The sequence below is a fragment of the Homo sapiens genome, chromosome 6 (genome assembly GCF_000001405.40).
Source record: "Homo sapiens chromosome 6, GRCh38.p14 Primary Assembly".
Lineage (NCBI taxonomy): Eukaryota > Metazoa > Chordata > Mammalia > Primates > Hominidae > Homo > Homo sapiens.
The window spans coordinates 25,573,184-25,594,556 of record NC_000006.12 but is presented as its reverse complement, the minus strand read 5'-3'; the positions used below and the strand labels follow the sequence as shown (position 1 = coordinate 25,594,556).

Genomic DNA, 21,373 nt, shown 5'->3' with positions numbered 1-21,373 from the left:
CATTATCAGTGAAATTACTCTGAACTCACTTGGAATCCATTTTGGTCACCTTCTTGGTAAAAAATTCATCTACACCTTCATCCACTCTCCCCATGAGACCATTCTGTTCACCATCTTGTGAGACTATGTTGGCAGCACAGACCTGCAAAACAAACAGATGTAATGTTAATTCACATGCACCTTGATTTAGCAAACATTTATTACTAGATTTAAGACACTGTGATTAAGGGCTATGGGAGGGACAAGGCTCACTAAAATAGGGACCACGTAATCTACAGGAATAGAAGCCATATGTACAATCATAACACAGACAAGAAGAAACAAAAGTGAGGGATGCACGATAAACACCATGCCTTGTGGAGATTCATGCTGACTGGTACATCAGAAGCTTGGACCTAACAGATAGGACGAGTCGAGTGTTTCTAAAGGCAGAGAAAGGCACTGCAGGCGTGTGGTAAGGGGAAAGGGAGTGCATGGAGAAATGAAACACGCACTGACTTCTGAGAGTGGTGATGACTCCAGGGCCCTGAGGTGTGTGGGTGAGGCTGGCTGCTAAGGATGGAACATAGTAGATGCTATTACTGGCTTCCCCTAACCCTCTCCCCTGACTACTTTCTTTCTTGCTGGAAGAGCCCTAGAGTCAGATTATGGATACTGATTTGCTTAAGCTACAATCCCTTCCTCTTGTCTGTGATTAACAGGCATGGGAGTGGGATATAATCCTGGTGTGTGAGATATAAGGGGACATTTGCTAGGGAGCTCATGGGGGCAGGTTTTGTCAGGAGGAGAGAATGTGTTTTTCTGCAGTTATGTGAGGCATATGTGATGTCTGAGCTGCAGAAGGCCACTGGCATTCACCAAATGGGGAGGCCCAAGGATAAAAGGCTGCACGCTGGTTGACAATAACAAAGCAGAAAGGGGAAAGCACCTGGGTATCTGTGCTCTGCTGCTGAATAAGCCACGCCTGGATCCTGAGGCTTCTGGATTTTTTGTTAGGTGAGAAAATAAATATTTCTCATTGTTTAAGTCACTTTTGAGTCAGTATTGAGTATTTCATAATATCCAGTTGAATACTTTCCAACTAATAATACAATAACCCATAAGGAACAGCCTTGAGCCTTATGCTAAGGAAGAAGGAATTTACTGCTTAGATGATAGGGAGCCACCAATGCAGCAGCATGGCCCAGCCTGAATTCTGGGGAGGTAATTCTGGGGCAGTATGAAGGACCAATTGGAGACGCCAGAGAATATAAGTAGGTAAACCTGTTCAGGAGCTGAAATCAAAGACTCTTGAATAATTTAATGTAATCTGGAGGTGATGAGGAACTAATGAAGTGGAGAAGTGAGAATGGAAAGACAAGAGCTGCCCAAGATATGGTCAAAGTTTCTAGGCCAGGTAAATGGGGACATGGTTCTAGGGAACACGTTACAAATATCATATTTGGGGGAAAAGCTGTATCTTATCTTCTTGAGTGTTTGAGGTATTGTGGGAAATCCAGAAGCAGGTGTCCAGCAGGCAGCCAAAAACTCCGATCTTATGAGAGAGGCTGGTGAGAAGCTATCAGAAAGCTATACTAAGTTAGCATGTCTCTTTGAAAGGACAACTCATAGTAAGCTTAGTCAGATGCTTGATTTGTGTCTGCAATGTATATTAATATTTCACAGATAGGTTGTGGATGACTGAGAGAGAGCATGCATCTTGCCCATGCTGTTGGATACAAGGACAAATTCTCATGTGGTTGGGATACCTGGTCTAGATGTCTTGCCATAGAGCGGTGGGAAAGCTGTTTCCTGTAATCTTGATTTGCAAGTCTCAAGGTGCCTAGGGGGAACATGGCTTATGTCTGTATGGAAATTGTTTAAAGAAAAAACCCCTTGAACAATCATCCGCTTCATTCATTGGGAAGCTCTCATTACGAAAATGAACTATGTGTTTGAGTTCATGTTTGTGACATGCTGAAAAGTGAAGAGACAACAGATAATAGGCAAAGAACCCTATGAAATAACAATTACACCTCTCATCTGAATGGTGCTTTATATTGGAGCAAGGTTTTCCTACATGTTGCACAAGAGCAGACAATCAGCAAAGTTCTATAATTCCGTTATGCAGAGAAAAAAGCTCACTGAAAAACTTTGATTACAAAAGATAAAGTAGTACAGAACTTGCTTGTATTATATTATTTTTCCCTTTTGGAAAAGTATTGAGGATAGAATCTCTATAGCAGTAATAGCCCCTTAAGTTAATATAGTTCTTGACAGTTTACATGTGTTTTACACGTTATTATGTCACCCTTATGTCTACCCTTTAAACTGAAAGAGATAGTACTATCCTACTTTTTGGTTAGTCACAGATCAAACAGTGGCTCAGAAGGTTAGCGGCACCCACACTGGTCACCTGATTGATGGATGAAGAAAGATGCGACCCCAGGACATACGGTCCTAACACAGGGCTTCCTCCCAGCTTCCCCCAATGATTCCTCTTTTCATTTTGAAACAAACAAACAAACAAAAAAAAAACAAAGTTTTACTTGTATAATTTCTTCCCTCAGGAAAAATTTCTCTTTTCCTGCTTGGAAACAGAAGTCACAGCCAGCACAAAAGGTTCTCTGGGGATGTGGGGTACATCAATGGGTTTCAGAGATGGAGGCACAGAGCTGAACAAAACAGTTTGCTTTCCTGCAGGACAGCCCAGCTTTTAGGGCTGGACTGGCCCCTACAGATCCTCCAGTCCAACCCTGTCATTTTAGAGATAAAGAGACAGAGAGCAGAAAGATTAAGAGAAGTCCAGTATCACTGGGAGATCTTCCATGAGACATGGTTTAAAATGCATCTGTTAAAATAGGAAGCAGGAGGTGGCATCAGCCTACGTGAAGAGCAGTAGAAAAACTGAAGACTGAATTGAAATGTAGTTTGCAAAAGGGTTCAAGGTCAAATGTACATGCTGTTTCAGCTCCTTTTCTAACAAAAGCAAAGGAAAGGACAAACAGTTATCAGAAGTTCTCAAAATCCCATTTGCTTTTGGTCTTTTCTGTCAAGGAGAATACATTTCAGACTGAAAAGGGTAGAACAGCTGTTGGAAAAGGAGGGAGCAAAAACCTCAGCCGTGAGCCTGGGGCCAGAATCCACTGCATTTGCACTCAGAGAAAGGCTTTTACAAATAAAATCAGGAATCGCTGTTGCTGATATTTGATAAAGAAGGTAGATTTTGCACCTCCAGTGTGTAAGTGCTAAAAGGATAACTCGTGAATGCTGAGAAAATAAGCTGGTGATCGTGAGGACTAAAGACAATTCAGACCACCCTGTTTTCCCTCTGCCAGGATTATTACAGTGAATACACCAGGGAAAGACAGTAGGCGGTGCACCTGGATTTTGATGCGGCAGCTGCCAAATCTCTCACAATGTCTTCATTGGCTAGATGGAGAGGAATGGGCAGGAAGTAAGGACAATTAGGTGCATTAGTAATTCTTTGAACAGATATACCAAGGAGTGCTAATTAGTGAACTGAATAATCATGGAATGTTATGTGCATATATTAGAATGTAAAAAACATGGAAAATTAATTAGCTAAGCAATCAAGATATAAGGAACCCAAAGGAAGTAAAATGAAGAAAATATAATAAAAGAAAAAAATGAACTTGAGAGGATTGATAAAACAGTTGACTCTTAGAAAAAGAGATGACAACATTAAGAGAACAGGCATTAAAAATATGTTAAAATGGAAAAGGGGACATAGCTATATAAGAGATTAAAGCTATCAGTATAAGAAATTAAAAACTTAAACGAATTCTATAAACAATTAAATGAACAATTAGACTAAATGGAAGATATCTTAAAAATATATAAATTATCAAAATGATCTTAAGAATTAGGTAACCTGAACAGATCTATGACAAAAGAAATAAAATCCTTAGTAATATATCTACATACAAGTATCACATGCACACAAGCATATAGACAACACTTAGGGCCCAGATGGCATCCCAGGAGAGGAAGAGACAATCTCTATTATATGTAAACTGTTCCAGAGAATAGGAGAAAAGAAAGAGCTTCCCAATCAATTTTATGGAGATAGTATAACTTTGAAAGCCAAACTAGATGGATGGTTTAGACAAGAAAAATAAACATGTTAAGTCTCTCTTATTTATGCATATAGATGCAAAAGTTCTCATAAAATATTAGCAAAGCCTAGCAGTGTATTAAAACAAAGCAAAAACTCATGACTAAAAATGTTATAACACTAGAAAAAGTATGTTGAAATTCACCCAAGTTTCACATTAAAAAAGAAAAATTATCAGTCTCAACAAATACCGAAAAAAAAGAATCAAACTACCATTCATTCCAAAACAAAATTAGCAAAATAGAAGAAAAGTCTCTTAACTGAATAAATTACAGCAGAAACTGCTTTGTGTCTATTTAGTGTCTATTCGCTCTTGTTGACTCAATAACAAAACCCTGACTTATTGGAGTATTGATGTGACCAACTGGCTATTTATCTTCCTAGATTTTCTTGTAGCTGGGGATGGAAATATGATTCATTTCTGGCCATTAAGATGCAACTGGAAGTATACTAGGACTTCCGGGTAGTTTAGATTCCCTGCTGCATGCACCCCCTTTTTCTCTGTCTGAAATATGTGTATAAAAACAGATTATAGACCTTGCCTGAGAATAAGATCAATACCAGTCACCTGGATGATATAGCCATTTTAAAGGTGAATGCAACCTGTGGTTGAATAAATAGAAGTTTCCTATTTAAAAGGAGAGAAGCAATGGGCCGGGTGTGGTGACTCGCACCTGTAATTCTAGTACTTTGGGAGGCTGAGGCATGTGGATCGTGTGAGCTCAGGAGTTTGAGACCAGCCTGGGCAACATGGCAAAGCCCTGTCTCTACAAAAAACACAAAAATTAGCAGAGTGTGGTGGTGCACACCTGTAATCCCAGTTACTTGGGAGACTGAGGTGGGAGGATCACTTGGGCCTGGGAGGGGGAGGTGGTAGTGAACTGAGATCGCACCACTGCTCTCCAGCCTGGGTGACAGGTGAGACCCTGTCTCAAAAATAAATAAATAAAAGGAGAGAAGCGATATGGCAGATCTTACTAAAGTACTCTATTTTGTCTTGGGTGCCACACTGCAATTTATTCAGAACAGAGTAACAAGACTTGTAAATGGATTCCAGACAATTTCATATGAAGTACATCGAAAGAGCTGAAGAATTAAGATTTGGCCCACAAATATTGTTAAGTCTACTAAGTAGAAGAGACTTGGATACCACGTGCCACTCCAGAAGACTGAAACAAGATGGCTAAGTTCAAGCTATACAGTAAGAGTTTTAGCAACACAAAAAATAATTTGCTAATAATTAGAGCTTTAAGAAAATGGCAGCTTCAGAGAAAGAAGTCATTGTGGATGGAATGGCCAATCAATGGCTGTGTAGGGATTTTTAAGCACCAGATGAGGGGCTGAACAAGATGACTTGAAGATCCTTTTCAGCCTTATGACACCATGATTCAATGCATACAGGAGAAAACCTATTACCCAGGAGTTAGTCCATTTTAATTTGAGTTGGTTTGTTTCATCATTGGGCCGACTAGTGTGGGGCTATGCCCTATGCCGAGAATATATGGCAAACTGACTGATACTGACCTATCACACAAAGTGAAGCCACTGCATGGTATAATATTTCAGAGAATGATCATGGACAAATCAGGTATCTGTCCTGGGCTTCATATTCCCTTGAATATTGAGTAATCTTTAAAATTCCTTCCACTAGGAGATTATTCCAGTTAGTGGTAGAGTCAGCACTATATCCCAGTCCAGTGTTCTTTCCACTCCTCTATGCAAATTTTTCAATGATTTTTCCTTAAGGGAATACTTGTCACCTATAGCTATGTTAGGAAAAAGTAGAAAGAAGCAATAGCTAACTGGCAGTGGATGAGTGAGTATAAGCATGCCTCCATCCCTGTTGGGTGTCGTGGTTAGAATGCTCACCTGCAGTTAGGTGGCCACGTGGCCAAGTTCTGGAAAGTGGTATTCAGATGAATGTGAAGCTCATCCTTTCGGACCTGGCCCTTAAAACCTCAGAGGTATGAACCTTCATGCTTTATGTCATCCTCCAGCTGAATGCATATGACTTGAGGGACCAAAAAGGAGGGTAGAGCCACAAAGTAAAAGTAGCCTGGATCCCTGACAACTGTAGTGTCCCCTGGCCAGAAATACCCATAATGGACTATGATATGAACAAGAAATAAACTCCAAAATATCAGAGATTTAACATAGTAAAGGTTTATCTCATATAGTAGCTAGTGTTACCCCACTTAATACAGCTGAACTTCAGTATCCGAGGGGGACTGGTTCCAGGACGCTTGAGGATACAAAAATCCATAGATGCTCAAGTCGCTGCTATAAAATGGCATAGTATTTGTATATAACCTACAAACATCCTCCTGTGTGCTTTAAATAATCTCTAGATTACTTATAATACCTAATACAATGTAAATGCTACGTAAATAATTGTTATACTGTATTTTAAAATTTATATAATTTTTTTATTGTTGTGGTTTTTTTATTGCCTTTTAAATAAATATTTTCAATCCAGAGTTGGTTGAATCTCAAATGCAGAATGTGTGGATATGGAGGGCTCACTGTACACTACACGTTTTCCCCCTTTTCTCTGTTGTAGCTGGCACATTCTGGTACCTGAGAAAATGGCATTTCCACTCTTAGATTACCCATGTGATGCTCTTTTCCCAAAAGCAAAGACTTTCTGACAGTCAATTCAACTGAGGAAATAATTTTTGAATAAAATTGTATGTAAAGTTAGTTAATTTGTTTCTTAGTAAACATGGGTAAGAATCCCTTTGAATTAATGAGGGTAAATGAGTGTGGTATTAAATCGGTTTCCAGGAATTTTTTTCTCTTCCTCCTCCATTTAAGTGTAGAAAAGGGAGAATGGGTACAAAAGCAAAAACAAATATAAGATTTATATTGTAAAGATAATATTAAAATGGAAATACTAGCTTTGAACAACAATGTTTTTAAGTAAAGGATGGCATATTTTTATCCTATTTATTTCTTATGACAACTCAACGACGTAGGCAATGCTGGTATTTAGAAACAAGTTGGCTCAGGTTTTTTAAAAAAAACCCACAAGCCTCTGTCCAGACACACACTGCCAGGGAGTGGAAGAGCCCACTGGCTGAGCCTAGCATCCTGCTCTTACTACTACAGTAGAAGGTTAAATTCTATGGGCTAAGCAGCTATAATGTAATTTTTAAGAATTCTTTTATCTACTTAAATTAAGTAAAAAGGAAAAAAGAAAGAAACATTCTAGCTCTTGTTATTAAAAAAAAATCTTTGTTTTTGTTTTTGGAGTGGTAGAGGTGGAATAAAAACATATAGCTAAAATATCTATATCCATTGTTCTCAAAATGACTGTGGTTTGATCTAAGGTTAAATTTTTGTGCCTAGTTTCCTTTTTTAAAAATAGGTTCCCTCTCCCTCCCCCTCCCCCTCCCTCTCCCTTTCCCCAGTCTCCCTCTCCCTCTCCCTCTCCCTCTGTCTCCACGGTCTCCCTCTCCCTCTCTCTCCACGGTCTCTCTCCCTCTTCCTCTCTCTCCACGGTCTCTATCTGATGCCGAGCCGAGGCTGGACTGTACTGCTGCCATCTCGGCTCACTGCAACCTCCCTGCCTGATTCTCCTGCCTCAGCCTGCCGAGTGCCTGGGATTGCAGGCGCGCGCCGCCACGCCTGACTGGTTTTTGTATTTTTTGGTGGAGACGGGGTTTCGCCGTGTTGGCCGGGCTGGTCTCCAGCTCCTGACCGCGAGTGATCTGCCCGCCTCGGCCTCCCGAGGTGCCGGGATTGCAGACGGAGTCTCGCTCACTCAATGCTCAATGTTGCCCAGGCTGGAGTGCAGTGGCGTGATCTCGGCTCGCTACAACCTCCACCTCCCAGCCGCCTGCCTTGGTCTCCCAAAGTGCCGAGATTGCAGCCTCTGCCTGGCCGCCACCCCGTCTGGGAAGTGAGGAGCGTCTCTGCCTGGCCGCCCATCGTCTGGGATGTGAGGAGCCCCTCTGCCCACCCGCCCAGTCTGGGAAGTGAGGAGCGCCTCTTCCCGGCCGCCATCCTGTCTGGGAAGTGAGGAGCGTCTCTGCCTGGCCGCCCATTGTCTGAGATGTGGGGAGTGCCTCTGCCCTGCCACCCCGTCTGGGATGTGAGGAGCGCCTCTGCCCGGCCGCGACCCCGTCTGGGAACTGAGGAGTGTCTCTGCCCAACCGCCACCCCGTCTGGGAGGTGAGGAGCGTCTCTGCCCGGCCACCCCGTCTGAGAAGTGAGGAGCCCCTCCGCCCGGCAGCCACCCCGTCCGGGAAGTGAGGAGCGTCTCTGCCCGGCAGCCGCCCCGTCTGGGAGGTGGGGGGCAACCCCCCGCCCGGCCAGCCGTCCCGTTAGGGAGATGGGGGGCGCCTCTGCCTGGCCGCCACCCCGTCTGGGAGGTTTACCCAACAGCTCATTGAGGGCGGGCCATGATGATGATGGCGGTTTTGTCAAATAGAAAAGGGGGAAATGTGGGGAAAGGAAAGAGAAATCAGATTGTTGCTGTGTCTGTGTAGAAAGAAGTAGACATAGGAGACTCCATTTTCTTCTGTACTAAGAAAAATTCTTCTGCCTTGGGATGCTGTTAATCTATAACCTTACCCCCAACCCCGTGCTCTCTGAAACATGTGCTGTGTCCACTCAGGGTTAAATGGATTAAGGGCGGTGCAAGATGTGCTTTGTTAAACAGATGCTTGAAGGCAGCATGCTCCTTAAGAGTCATCACCACTCCCTAATCTCAAGTACCCAGGGACACAAACACTGCGGAAGGCCGCAGGGTCCTCTGCCTAGGAAAACCAGAGACCCTTGTTCACATATTTATCTGCTGACCTTCCCTCCACTATTGTCCTATGACCCTGCCAAATCCCCCTCTACGAGAAACACCTAAGAATGATCAATAAATACTAAAAAATAAAAAATAAATAAAAAAATAGGTTATCTACTCTTCATATTACATAAATATCTATTTGTACATTTTTGGCACAAAAATCGGTCATTACAACATGTTTGGCCTGGAAGAAACTGGCATGCTGGCATTTAACTCAGCCTTGGCGCTGACAATTCTGACACCTGGAAAAGTTCATTTGAGGCATTAGGGTTCAGAGACAAACTCTAGAAAAGCTAAGACAGACTTTGGATGAACTGATTTTACTGAATCCTAGGAAGAAAAACAACGATAATTGTTAATAATTGCTCTTACTAAACACTAATAATAAAAGTAAGCCACAGCCTCCTCATTCTTACCTGAAAAATTTAAATAATGGTGCCTGTGTGGCAGCTTCACAGGGCTGTTAGACATGAAAGCACTTTGGAAACTGTAAGCAGCGTGATATCATAAGGTAATATATTTTCACTATGAACTCAAGTAAAGGTGTGCTAATCTATACTTCTCTGTCCATCAGTGCTCTGGGAAAAAGCCAGATCTATTTAGACCTCTGGCCATAATGCATTATTTTGGGACTTACCTTTGTGTTACACAGTCCCTAAGGGAAAACAACCTAGAGTATGCCAACCCTGTGAGTCCTGGCTTCATTGTGGACAAAGGTGAAATCTCTCTAGAACAGATTGATGAGGTTGGGACATGCTACCCCAAAATATGGTGCCTTGGCATTTGAGGAAATAGCAAAAGCAGGAAGGTCATTCTCATCTTCCCCTTGCCTTTCTCCCTTGAGGCAGGTCATAAAAGTTTCATTCGAGAAACTGCCCTCCCTATAGGCAGATAAAAGAAATGTCTCTGAAGACATGGGGAGAGGGAGAAGAGTCTGAACAAACAGGCCTTGCTAAGTGCCCCAGTTTATTACCATTAGATCATACCCCCTTTGTCTAATCCTACTTCTCTGTAACTATCCACTTCATCAAACTTAGCATAAAAATACAAAGGTTTCTCCTGTTTCTTTGAGTCTGCATTTCTGAAGGTTCCCATGTCACATAAAACTTACATTAAATAAATTCTCTTATGCTTTTCTCTGGTTGACCTGTCTTTTGTTACTGGTGCTTCAGCCATGAAACCTAGTGATACATGAGAAATTCTCTGTTCTGCCTTGCAATATCTAGTATGCACCTCACATAGGACTCTGCCACAGCTTCCTTCCTTTCTTTTCTATTTTTCAAACATTTAAGGAAAAAAGGCTGGCATGGTAGCTCATGCCTGCAATCCCAGCACTTTGGCAGGCTCAAGCAGGAGGGTAGCTTGAGGCTAGGAGTTCCGAGATTAGCCTGGGCAACATACCAAGAGCCCATCTCTACAAAAAAAAATATTTAAATAATTAGCCAAGCATGGTGGTATGAACCAGTAGTCCCAGCTACTCAGGAGGCTGAGGTGGGAAGATTGTTATTGCTTGAGCCCAAGAGTTCAAGGCTGCAGTGAGGCATGACTGTGCCGCTGCACTCCAGTCTGGGTCACAGAGTGAGAACCTGTCTCAAAAAAAAAAAAAAAAAAAGAAAAAGAAAAGAAAAGATAAAAGTACATAAGATTATCTCTTTCCATGAGTCACCAGTTTTATCAAGGATAAACTTAAGCCATTTCGCAGACAAGTTATATTGTTAGTGTTATTCCATATGGAAAGAGCCATAGAGAAACCATTTATTCAGTAACATCCTAGAACCTGAAGTGTGGGTTGTTGGGCGGGAGGCGGGTGGGGGGGGTTGTCTTTTTATCTATCTACAAAAGTATTTCCCTTATTTTAAAAAGAGAAAGGTAAGTATATCCCTATAAGAATATGTAATAATGGACTAAAAAATCTAAAAATCAGTAAATTAGAAAACAACAAACTAGAATGTTTTTGTATTTTGAAACAGTATCAAGCTATTTGGATTCAAATGAGAGAAATTAACCAAACACAACAAAAGCCTGATCTAAAGTGAGGAAATGATCAACCAGGCAGGTAAGTTATTGTGACCTTCATCCATCTATGTCTCCAGCTATCCACCTACTTATCCAATGAGTATTGTTGAACCCCTACTATATTCAAAACCCAATGTAAGCACTGAGCATATTACCATGAATAATAAATCACAGGCCCTGCCTACACAGAACTTAAAGACAAGGAGTAAGCTGAGAAAACTCTGTGTGATGAGAGCTGTGACAGTAAGCATCAGGCACTGGAGGAGGTGGGGCCTCCATGGAGAGTTGCTCAGGCTGTGCACTGTGCACAACCAGCCTGTGAGAACAACTTCCCTGGTGTCATGTGACCCTAGCTCTGTGGGAACACAGTGGGAGGGGTAAGGAGGGCTTCCTGGAAGAAGCCTTGCCTTCTTTAGAAATAACTATGATCTAATGGTAATAACCTGGGAGCACTTAGTAAGGCCTCTTTGTTCAGATTCTTTCCTCTGTCCCCAAGTCTTCAGAGATAAGGACATTTCTTTCCTCTGGCTATACAGAGGGCACTTGTTGAATGCCGCTTTTATGATCTGCCTCAAGGGAGAAAGGCAAGGGGAAGATGAGAATGCCCTTCCTGCTTTTGCTATTTCCTCAAATGCCAAGGCGCCATATTTTGGGGCAGCATGTCCCAACCTTATCAGTCTGTTCTGGAGAGACTTCACCTTTGTCCACAATGAAGCCAGGACTCACAGGGTTGGCATACTCTAGGCTGTTTTCCCTTAGGGACTATGTAACACAAAGGTAAGTCCTAAAATAATGTATTATGGCCAGAGGTCTAAATAGATCTGGCTTTTTCCCAGAGTACTGTGTGGACAGAGAAGTATAGAGAAGTGGATAGTTACAGAGACGTAGTAGAGATGTAAAAAATTTGAAAGTAGTTCTCAGCCCAGGAGATGGGGGGAAGCAATAAGAAAAGGGCTGCAGCATTAGAGGGCTGGAGCTCAGGATGGGAGGTAGCCTAGCAAGAAGGAAGAGGGAGAGCTGGTGATCAGGGTCGTATTCAGCTTTCTAACCTGTCAACTGATGATGTCCCAAGAAAAACCAGGGATATGAGAAGGGCAGGCTTATAAGGAAAGGTGGGATCTAACTTTCAAATTTTTGAGCCCAAGGTACTAATTCAAATTTAGGAGGCAAGTGGATATCCAGAAATCTACAGTCAACAACAGAGACTAAAACCATGAGTTAGATGATATCACCCAGACGGACAATAAAAAACTTAAATGGGTCTGGCAGGAAAACTGAAAGGACATTGCTGAAGAGGTGAGTGGAAAAGAAAAGAGTGTGATGACTCAGAGATCAACGGGAAATCTCCTGTCGGGAATGACAGAGCTTTCTGTGTCAAGGAACTGCTGAAACATCAAGTAAGATGACGGACAGCTGAAGAGTCCACAGGATTTGGTCTGGAGTGACCTTGGGAGGGTGGTTTAAAGGGTAGGTAGATATAGAAGGAAGATTTTGGTAAACTGTGGAGTGACAGGAAGGTGAAGAAGAGAGACAGTAGAGACAATTGGCACAGGAAAACTTTTTCAAGAAGTTTAGCTATAAAGGAGAGAAAAGGCATTAACCAGAGAGACACATGGGTAAACTACATTAAGGCTCATCAGCACACACAATTGAGTCTTCTACTGGAGTAGAAAGAGGAGGATGTCAAGAGTCACACACTGGGGCTCCCACTTAGGGCTCTTCTCCAACACTTCAGTTACCTCAGTTTGTGGAGTGGGGGATGCATGTGTGCACTCCAGAATCAAACAATTTTTAATTACCAATTAATTCTTTGGGTACTTGTATCTTTTTTGCCCAGACACTGTAAAATACTAGAGACATTTATCTAGAATAAGGATTTCCTATCCTAGATAAACCTTATCTATCTAAGGATTTCCAAGGGCAGCTCTGTTCTGAAGAATCGGAAATTTTACAGCATTGTTTTCTCCACAATTATGTTGTTTTATTTAAGTGACACAATCTGTTCATTCTCCAAAATTGTTGAGCACCAAGTTGAGATACTTTGTATATCTCATGCAAAGAGGTTCTAGTCTCCTTAACCATAGCTTTCATGTTTGTGCAAAGCACTTTAGCAAGACCCTCCAACTTTCCCCAGAGAAGAAAAGGGTGTGGGAGAGATGGGGCCTCTCCTGCAGTCCACCTACCGCTGCTTGGGTGGGTTGCTGCTTCTTATTCCTTTTTGGCCTTAACTTGGTAAAGTGTTCCAGCTTCTTCCCCTCTTCAGAGGGCAACTCAGAGATAAATCCCGAGCTCCGCTTCTCCTGTCTGAGGGATGGGAAGGGCGGGTCTTCGATGTGAATTGGTACCTCTTCCAGCGCTTTATCTAGATCAAACTCCATTTCTAAAATTAAAAACAAAAAAACAAAAAAACAGCCCAAGGCCAAAGCTTAATGCATAGAGATGGATAAAAAATTCCTAAAAGTAATTTTAAGTCTAGCATAGAATAGCAAACACACATTCACAGATCACTGAACTCTTTCTCAATATTTACCCATGTAGTGCATCCATAAGGAACATCCCTAAAATGGTCTAAGGTCTTGCTGAGGGTGCTTCACAGTTCCAAGGAAATGATTGGCAGCAGCAAAACACTTACCAAAAGCCCTAGAAACAGGCCGCAGCATTCGGCTATGGATACTCTTCCTTTTGGATTTAGGGGTCATCTAGAAATGAAATAATAATTTAAAAAAACACTTAGGTAGCCACAGAAAACTTGCCTTTCAAACTTCTGAAACATTCTGGATCGACTGTTTAACTCAGTAGTTGTTTCTCTGCTTTAGAAGATGATTGAAAACCTAACTGAAGAGACCAAACTATTTCTAAATGTTTACAATTTCTCAAATGATACAGCTAACCTCTTTGTTTCATCCCTAACCAGTTGAATTCCACTTATATAGCTGAAAAGAGCAATGAATGAATTTAATTCCAAGCTGTGTAAGAGGATGTTAAAATGGATACATAAATAAAAATCAAAGACTGTTAAAATCAGTCACGAAAAACTGAAAACACTATTAAGTGATCATTGTCACAGTAACATCAATGTAAGCAACCCTGACCTCTTTCTGTGTCACATCAATGACTTAAGTAGTTGCACTCTCGTTTCACATTTTGCCCCCAAGATTTTGATCTTTACTTCATGGGCAAAGACCAGGAAAAGGTGCTAGGATTCAAAAATCTGTATCTGCTGGCACTTCTCAGTGAAATGTCTTTGATCCTGTTAATCTTCTAAAAAATGAAACCGAAACTCAAACCAAGGGCCAAAACTGAAGAGCACTTTCCTAGCATTGGTGTCAACTGTTTATGGTGCAAAGCCAACCCTCAGAAAGGCACTATCTTCTCCCTCAATAGGATCACACAAATGTCAAAGACGGAGGGAAGCTTTGTCATCACCTACACAAATAAACTCCAAGGATGAAACTGAGTTACAGAGATGACAAAGGCTAACATTCATGGTGTCAGAAGGAGCAGAGCCATGGACAGAACCCAGTGAGGAGGGTCAGGCCAGCATCCTTCCTGCCACATCATTCATGACCCATATAGAGATGGATGGATGTTAGGGATGTTTTCACTGGTTTGATATCAGGAAACTGGTACGTGTATAAACTAAGAGGTAACATAACTGAAAGAACTTAGTTTGCATACTTTCATTTAATAGGTTTTCATCTAATGCTTCCTCAAAAAAACAATCTACATGATTGAAAAACATTCTTTAGCTCCAAGGAGAAACTGGCTGATACTGATCTTTAAAGCAAACAAATCTATAGTTTTGACAATTATGCCAGTTTTAATAATATCATTTTGCTATTATTTATTGTTGAGAGAAAAGGGAGATAAAAAAATGATTAGCAATTGTATTGAAATCCAGACTGGTTTTCCTAAAATACAAAATGAAACTTGCCGATTTGGCTTTTTTCAAGGTTTTGTTAAAGGCAGACAAACTGAGGAAAAGCTATTTATAAAGTAACAGGTTTTGCAGGTTCAATAAAAACTCAGCTAACTCAATGCAAATGGAAAGGAATCCAGTTTAAGGCAGTTCTCCCCAAAGTTAGCCATGCAGTTGGCTGAAGAAGTTAGTGGCCTGCCTGGTCTATTCACAAGTGAAATCTCTGAAAGTAATTCTCAGGAGATACAAGCTATCAAAATATATGCTGTGTTTGGTCGCAACAAGTTCTTCAGTATTCTATCCATCTTGTGCACAATCATGGTAGGTAAAATAATCAAGAAGTAGCTTCAGATATAATTTTTAGCCAATTTCATTTAGATTGTCACAAATAAAGAGGAAAGATGTTTAAAAATGCATGGACTGAAGATGTCTTTTTTTTTTTTTCCTGACTCTTGATTATATTTTACAGGAAGTGTATTCATAGGCAAAAATAGTCTGGTTTAAGTTTCCATATCATGAAAGTCTTTATGATACCAAATAAATGTAAAATATATAAAAATTATATTTCAAATATATTATAATTTTAAACATATAAAAATATGTACTATATATAAAATAAATGACAATATATAATATGTACAGAAAGAATCACATTTGCAAACTCATGTCCATCTGTGAATAGGTCATTCAGCTTAGTTTAATTTCATAGACATAATTAAGAAACACACGAAATCATCAGGATAATTTGATGGTTGATATCACTCAAAGGGGAGCTAGTTTTCTCCTCTTGGTCTTGTTTTCCAATGCTTCAAAGCCCAGTATAGAAAGCTTGAATATCAGAAAAACTCACTCTAATGTATTTTACTTGCTTTCCTTTATTTTGTGTGCTTTTTACAAGGGTAAGTAACTTCTAATTACATTTCCCATAAATCTATACCTATCATATCTTGTAGTTCTGAAGTTTTGGCACAGAGCCAATGGTCTTTTGCTAAAATAGAATTTGTAATCAGGCTAGTTTCTACAATTGGTATTAAGAAGGCAACCCAGCTTCTGTATCTTTCCTTCATGGGATTTAAGTGCAACAACAGAGAAAAAAAAACTCAATCTCATTTCTCCCATATTTTTATTACTTTTCTTTGGAAGTAATTCTTCCTTAGTTTTACAGAAAATGTGGACTTCCTTAATCTTATTGGCTTATTCCTACAATGCCATTACATATAAACCTAAAGCAAGAGGAAATATAACAATGTACTATAATTATCCACCTAAGTGTATATTTAGGAGCAAATATTTAATGTTTGTCTAGAAATTTGGTTTATTTGCGCTCCTTCCTCCTCCCCTCCCCAACTGTTGGGTTGATGAAATACATCCCAGAAAAAGAAAACAATCTGACTTTACCATCTTCTTTAACACTGTTAGCTCTCTTCTCTTTTTGTACCAAAATGAAAGGGTCAATTTTTTCAAACTGTTTCTTAGTCCTTATTGACCTTTCCCTGACATTTGTTAATGCCTAAGTACTTTCTGAGTCAGAGAAATCACAAAGTGTCCATCAGATGAAGGGGGGTCAGCGTTTGAAAAAGAAGAGGTACATACTGCAAATGGACCTCTCATCAATCAATGGTTAACACTGTCAACTTGAGGCCTAGACAAAATTAACTTATCTTAAAAAATGCATCTTGCAAGCAATAACGTATAATTTTCAAAACCCATATCCCAAAAAAGTATGAGGAAAAAGGTGTTAAACCCTTATTTTAAATGTAATTTTAGCAGGAAAATCTTAAACACAGACTTCTTTCTTGTCCTAACATCACAAATCATCAATAAGTCCCCATTGTGGCAGACACTGTGAACAAAAAGGCCACAACTCTATTTTCTGAGAATCCAAAAGCATCAATGCCTACATTACTCTGAAATTGTACTCATTTGATCAAATTTTTTAATGAATTTTAAACTATTCTGCACATAGCTCAATTGAGATATGTCTACTTTTACTACAAGTTAAAGACTAATCTTGGAACCTTCCAAACAACGTAACATTTTTTTCCTGTCAAACCCACTTTTAACATGTAATTCCTAGACATACTTTTTTTTTAAAAAAATGAGAGTCAAGTTGCTTAAGTCACCATAAAAATAGAAAGAGGTGCTTTGTTTTTGCCACATTTGCTCAAAGAATAATAAATAACACTCTCACTCCAAGTTCAAGAATCCATAATTACTTCCCCCCACCACCAAGGCTGTAGAAAGAAAAAAAAAATAACAATACCAGCTGAGAAGAAGATTAGGAAAGTTCTCCTAATATAAGAAGCAAATCATAATGTCGATTTTCTACAACCCTGGGCCCGAAACAAGTAATATGACAAGAATCAGGAAAAAAATCTTAAAAGTAATCATGTCTTTATTATTGTTATTATTACATGAGTGGAATAAGCACTTGTCTCCTCTTGAATGTTTGTATCCTCTTCATCAACACTCTGCTTGCTTTCAGGCACATGGCTGGAGATATTTTAAATTCATCGCCTGTTTTGCTAGCTGAACCATCTTGCAAAATCCAATCTTGTCTCTAAATTGTTGCCTATTTCATTCAGGATCTGCAGATGGATGACAACACTACAGTCTCCTGGGAGACCAGCCAGGCAGCACAGAAGCAAATGGAGCACAAGAATATAAAGTAGTACAGCCAGAAACCGCAGAGCCACCAAAAAATACTTACACTTGTACAGCAGAGAGTCTCCATGCAGCAAAAAGAAAGAAAAAAAATATGAATGGAAGAGAGATAAAGCAACAGCATTACTAGGAAAGGGGAGGGAGAGGGATACCATTCACAAACAAAGAAACAGAAAAGCTAAAACACATAAAAAGCCTTCATAGCAAAGGAATAAGGCAGGAATGAGGCCAACATATTAATGGCTTAAGACATCCAATCTAGCTTTTTATAAGCAGAAGCACAATTACAGCTTGAAAAATTTCAGAAACTCCTAACCTACAGATATTATGTCTCTTGCTAGGTGTGTACAAAGTGATATTTACCAACCCCACAAGGCATTAACCTCATTTGGGGGATGGTGGCTTTATCAGCTCCAAAGCATATAATGGACAGAGCAGCGGATGGTTGTTAAAGAACCCCATGCAAGTCCTGGCTCCTGGACCACAGGACCAGTCTCAACAACTAAGTGGGGACAGTGTATCTGCAGGCATGTACAGGCGTCTCTTCTGGGGCCATTTACATCACTCTGTGCTCCCACTGCATTTTAGGAGCAGCAGCTTTGAATTCTTTTGCCTCTTCAGTCATTAAAACTTTTCAGGAAAAGATCTGATGACAGGATTCAGCACAAGTTACCTACCCACAGTGTAATTCAATATTGATGATACCTTATACCTTAGTGGGAATTTAGGTCACCTTACATTTTACATTACATCTCTAAATAATTTTTTTCTTTATTTTCTTTCCTTCTCCATTCACCTTAGATTTAAAAAAAAATCTCTAAATAATTCTTAAAATTCCATTGGTCATCATTAAATTTTGTTAGGGCATCCTCTTCTTAGTCTGAATGAATGATAATTATTCTGAAATAATAATGATGAATTTAAAAATTCATTTATAAAAGAATTTTTAAAAACAAAAAAGAAGTCCAGTTGTAGAATGCAAGTCTTTGTGAAAGCGAAGTGTCAGGGGTTGAGGGATCCTTTCCAAACCTCCTGAGGAAGGCCACCTACTCCTTCCACCTGGGGCTGGGGCTTTCTTTTTTCCAAGTTCTTTATTTTTCATGTCAATTATTTTCAATATAAAATGGGATGGAAATACAGGGCTCCTCAATTTGTGAATGTAAATGATTTGTGTCTCTTTAAAGTAAAGGCAGCACATAAGTAAAAAGCATTCCCTATAACCATCACCATCATTGGCACCAGTATTATGTGCTTATCAGAAAGGCTTCCACTGGCAAAGTCCTGAAAATTTCTCATTCTTCACATTTCTGATTTCATACTTGATCAGGCAATTTACTTCAAATATAACTCATTCTATGACCCATTAAATTAGCAGGAAAACATCCTTGCTGGATCAAAGGAGAAAAAGTAAAAATATATTTTCAAATATATTTTCCCGAATTGCCCAAAACAAAGACTCCTGCCCTGTCCTAACACATAGCCCTCAGAAGCTTTCTTAAAGGTATGACTATGAATACATACATAAAAGAGTTACAGCTGATGGTTAAGTCCCATAGATGAGTTTTTACTTTCCTTCTCTTTGTGAAAGATTAATTCATCAAGAAAAGTAGTCTGTCCCAATTATCCACCTAAAGATCATTATAAGTGATGGTGAGGAACCTTTCAATTGGTTCAACTCCTAAAATGACAGGCAAGCAAAAAATGTTCCCACGAAGAAGGAAAGCGTGGCAACAGACATTTCAACTTTTTGATAGAAGGAAGATTAATAGTTCATTCTGCTACTCTTGTCCACTCTTTGGAACTCATTTGGGCTACAATGACTTCAACATCCCCCCATTAGGACAAGGGCAAGGGAAGGAGTATGTTTCATGCTCATGGCTTTGGCATCCAAGAACTGGGCATGAATCCTGAACCTGCTACTTACTGGGTTATGGGACTTTAACCAATGTTTTTGCAAAGTCAGCTTCCAGTTTTCTAGTTTGTAAAATAAATTGTGAGGATTAAATAAGATAATAAATGCCAAGTGCTTAGCACAGTGTCTGGCAAACAGTGCCAATCAGTGACCTCTCAGTGCTTCAATAATTGGCTGTGATTATGAGGTTAATATCATTTTTAAAATTCTTCTATTCCCAAAGAGAGAGTATTAAGGAGGGGGGCCATTAATAAGAAATAGATTTATAACAGCAAAAAAAGTGAGAACAATCAAAAAGCCAATCAGTAGAGGAATAACTAAAATTAAAGGAACATCAATTAAAAGGAAAAATAAAAACTACCTGTAGCAACATGAACATGTCTCAAAATATAATACTGAGTGAAAAAGGCAAGTTTCAAAAAAGATACACGTGGTACGATGCCATTTATGTAAACTCTAAAACATGCAAAATAATATTATACACTGTTCATGAATACACGTATGTTTGAACACAAAAAACAAACAGGAAGTGTCCAACTGAACTCATGAGAGTGCCTCAGGAGAAACGGGGAGAAGCTTGAGATTGTTAGTAGTGGTCAAATGATGCTATTACATTATCTGTGATGCCCTGTATTAAGATTCAACAAATGCTACCAAGCACATACTGTGCATCAGGCATTCTTGGAGAAAGGCGTGGGTCTAGCAGTGAATAAGAGAGAGAAGCTCTTGCACTCCTAGTGTGTGTGTTCCAGTGTATATTGGCAAAACAAAGATTCTAACATGTTAACAGGTGGCTCTTCAGGGTGTTAGGAACACAGGTATTTGGCATTTGTGAGTAATTTTTGTAATTTCTTAGGAATGTCCCAAAAAGTTTATTTAGGAATACTTAAAGAAATCACTCTGGTCATGGTATTGACCGATTATCTGGACTTACTATTCTGCAGACACTCTAATAGGAGCCTGTCTGAATGACCATATACTTCCACCACCTTTGCTACCTCCTGATGGATAACAATGACAAAGACACCAACCAGATCATAATAGCTTGGGGATGGAAAGTGATCAACTACAACACATGGAAAGAAACTTTAAAGTTTCTTGAAGTAACTCGGAGTTGTTCTGTTTGTGTAAGTGTTTGATAAGTGTTAGTGCTGCTCTGTGGAAGTGTTAAAAAGTGTCTGGCTTCCTGATGTTCAGGAACTATTGTTTTCCAGAGCCCAAGAACTCAAATTAAATAAAAATCCCAGTGCCACATCCTCTTCATGTTCTTTATCATGAACCTCACATGTAAGGGATTTTTTAAAAAAATTAATATTAACCTTAATAGAATTCACTCTATCAGAAATACACAAATGTTTTGCCGGTCATTTCAGCACCTCCTTTTAATACAGAACTGAGATGGACTAGATGGTCAGAACTGGACAGACTGGGTGAAGGGGAAAAAAGCCAGTTAGTTAAAAAAATAAGGAAATGAAGGGTTTTACCACTAAGCAAAAAAGAAATAAGCAAAAAAGGATTTTTTTTTTTTTTTTTTTTTGCTTAGAGGTAAACCCTCCGTTTTCTTATTGCTGGCAAAAAACTGGCAGAGGCGTCTTTTGGCCACTGTCTCATCAGTCCTCCCTCAGTCTCCAGGGGAAGAAAAGCAGAAAACCTACAAGAATTTCAACTACAGAGTCACCTTGTCAAGTATATTTACTTTTAAAAATGAGTTTAGAATAGAAACAGGTGTGTAGGCAGAGAGAATTCTTTTTATCTAATGGCCAAGAAATTTACTATAGCATCCTTTAACATGAAAAGTAATTTTTTTCATTTTAATGAAATGAAAATGGTTTTCATGTAATAGACAGCAGAACACTTTTTGAAACATCTTAAGCAATGTGTCAAAAACACATGATAGATAAATGGGATAATTTGGGTGACATAGGGGAATGCCTAGAGTGGCTC

The 21,373-nt window shown here is 39.7% G+C and overlaps 1 protein-coding gene across 20 annotated transcripts in view; it reads right to left on the bottom strand.

Moving 5' to 3' along the window:
• The window catches only part of CARMIL1 (capping protein regulator and myosin 1 linker 1), a 341,157-nt gene that overhangs the window by 25,974 nt on the left and 293,810 nt on the right, over positions 1-21,373 (bottom strand). For 12 of the 20 annotated variants that reach the window (XM_017011011.2, XM_017011016.2, XM_017011013.2 and 9 more), the window contains 3 exons: positions 13,567-13,633; positions 13,118-13,314; positions 30-142 (listed from right to left, as the gene is read on the bottom strand). In XM_017011011.2, coding sequence (XP_016866500.1) covers positions 30-142; positions 13,118-13,314; positions 13,567-13,633 — 377 coding nt within the window. Of the gene's footprint in view, positions 1-29; positions 143-13,117; positions 13,315-13,566; positions 13,634-17,230; positions 17,442-17,563; positions 17,582-21,373 lie in introns of those variants that run through there. The other 8 variants (XM_017011008.2, XM_017011009.2, XM_017011015.2 and 5 more) reach the window with 2 other exon arrangements.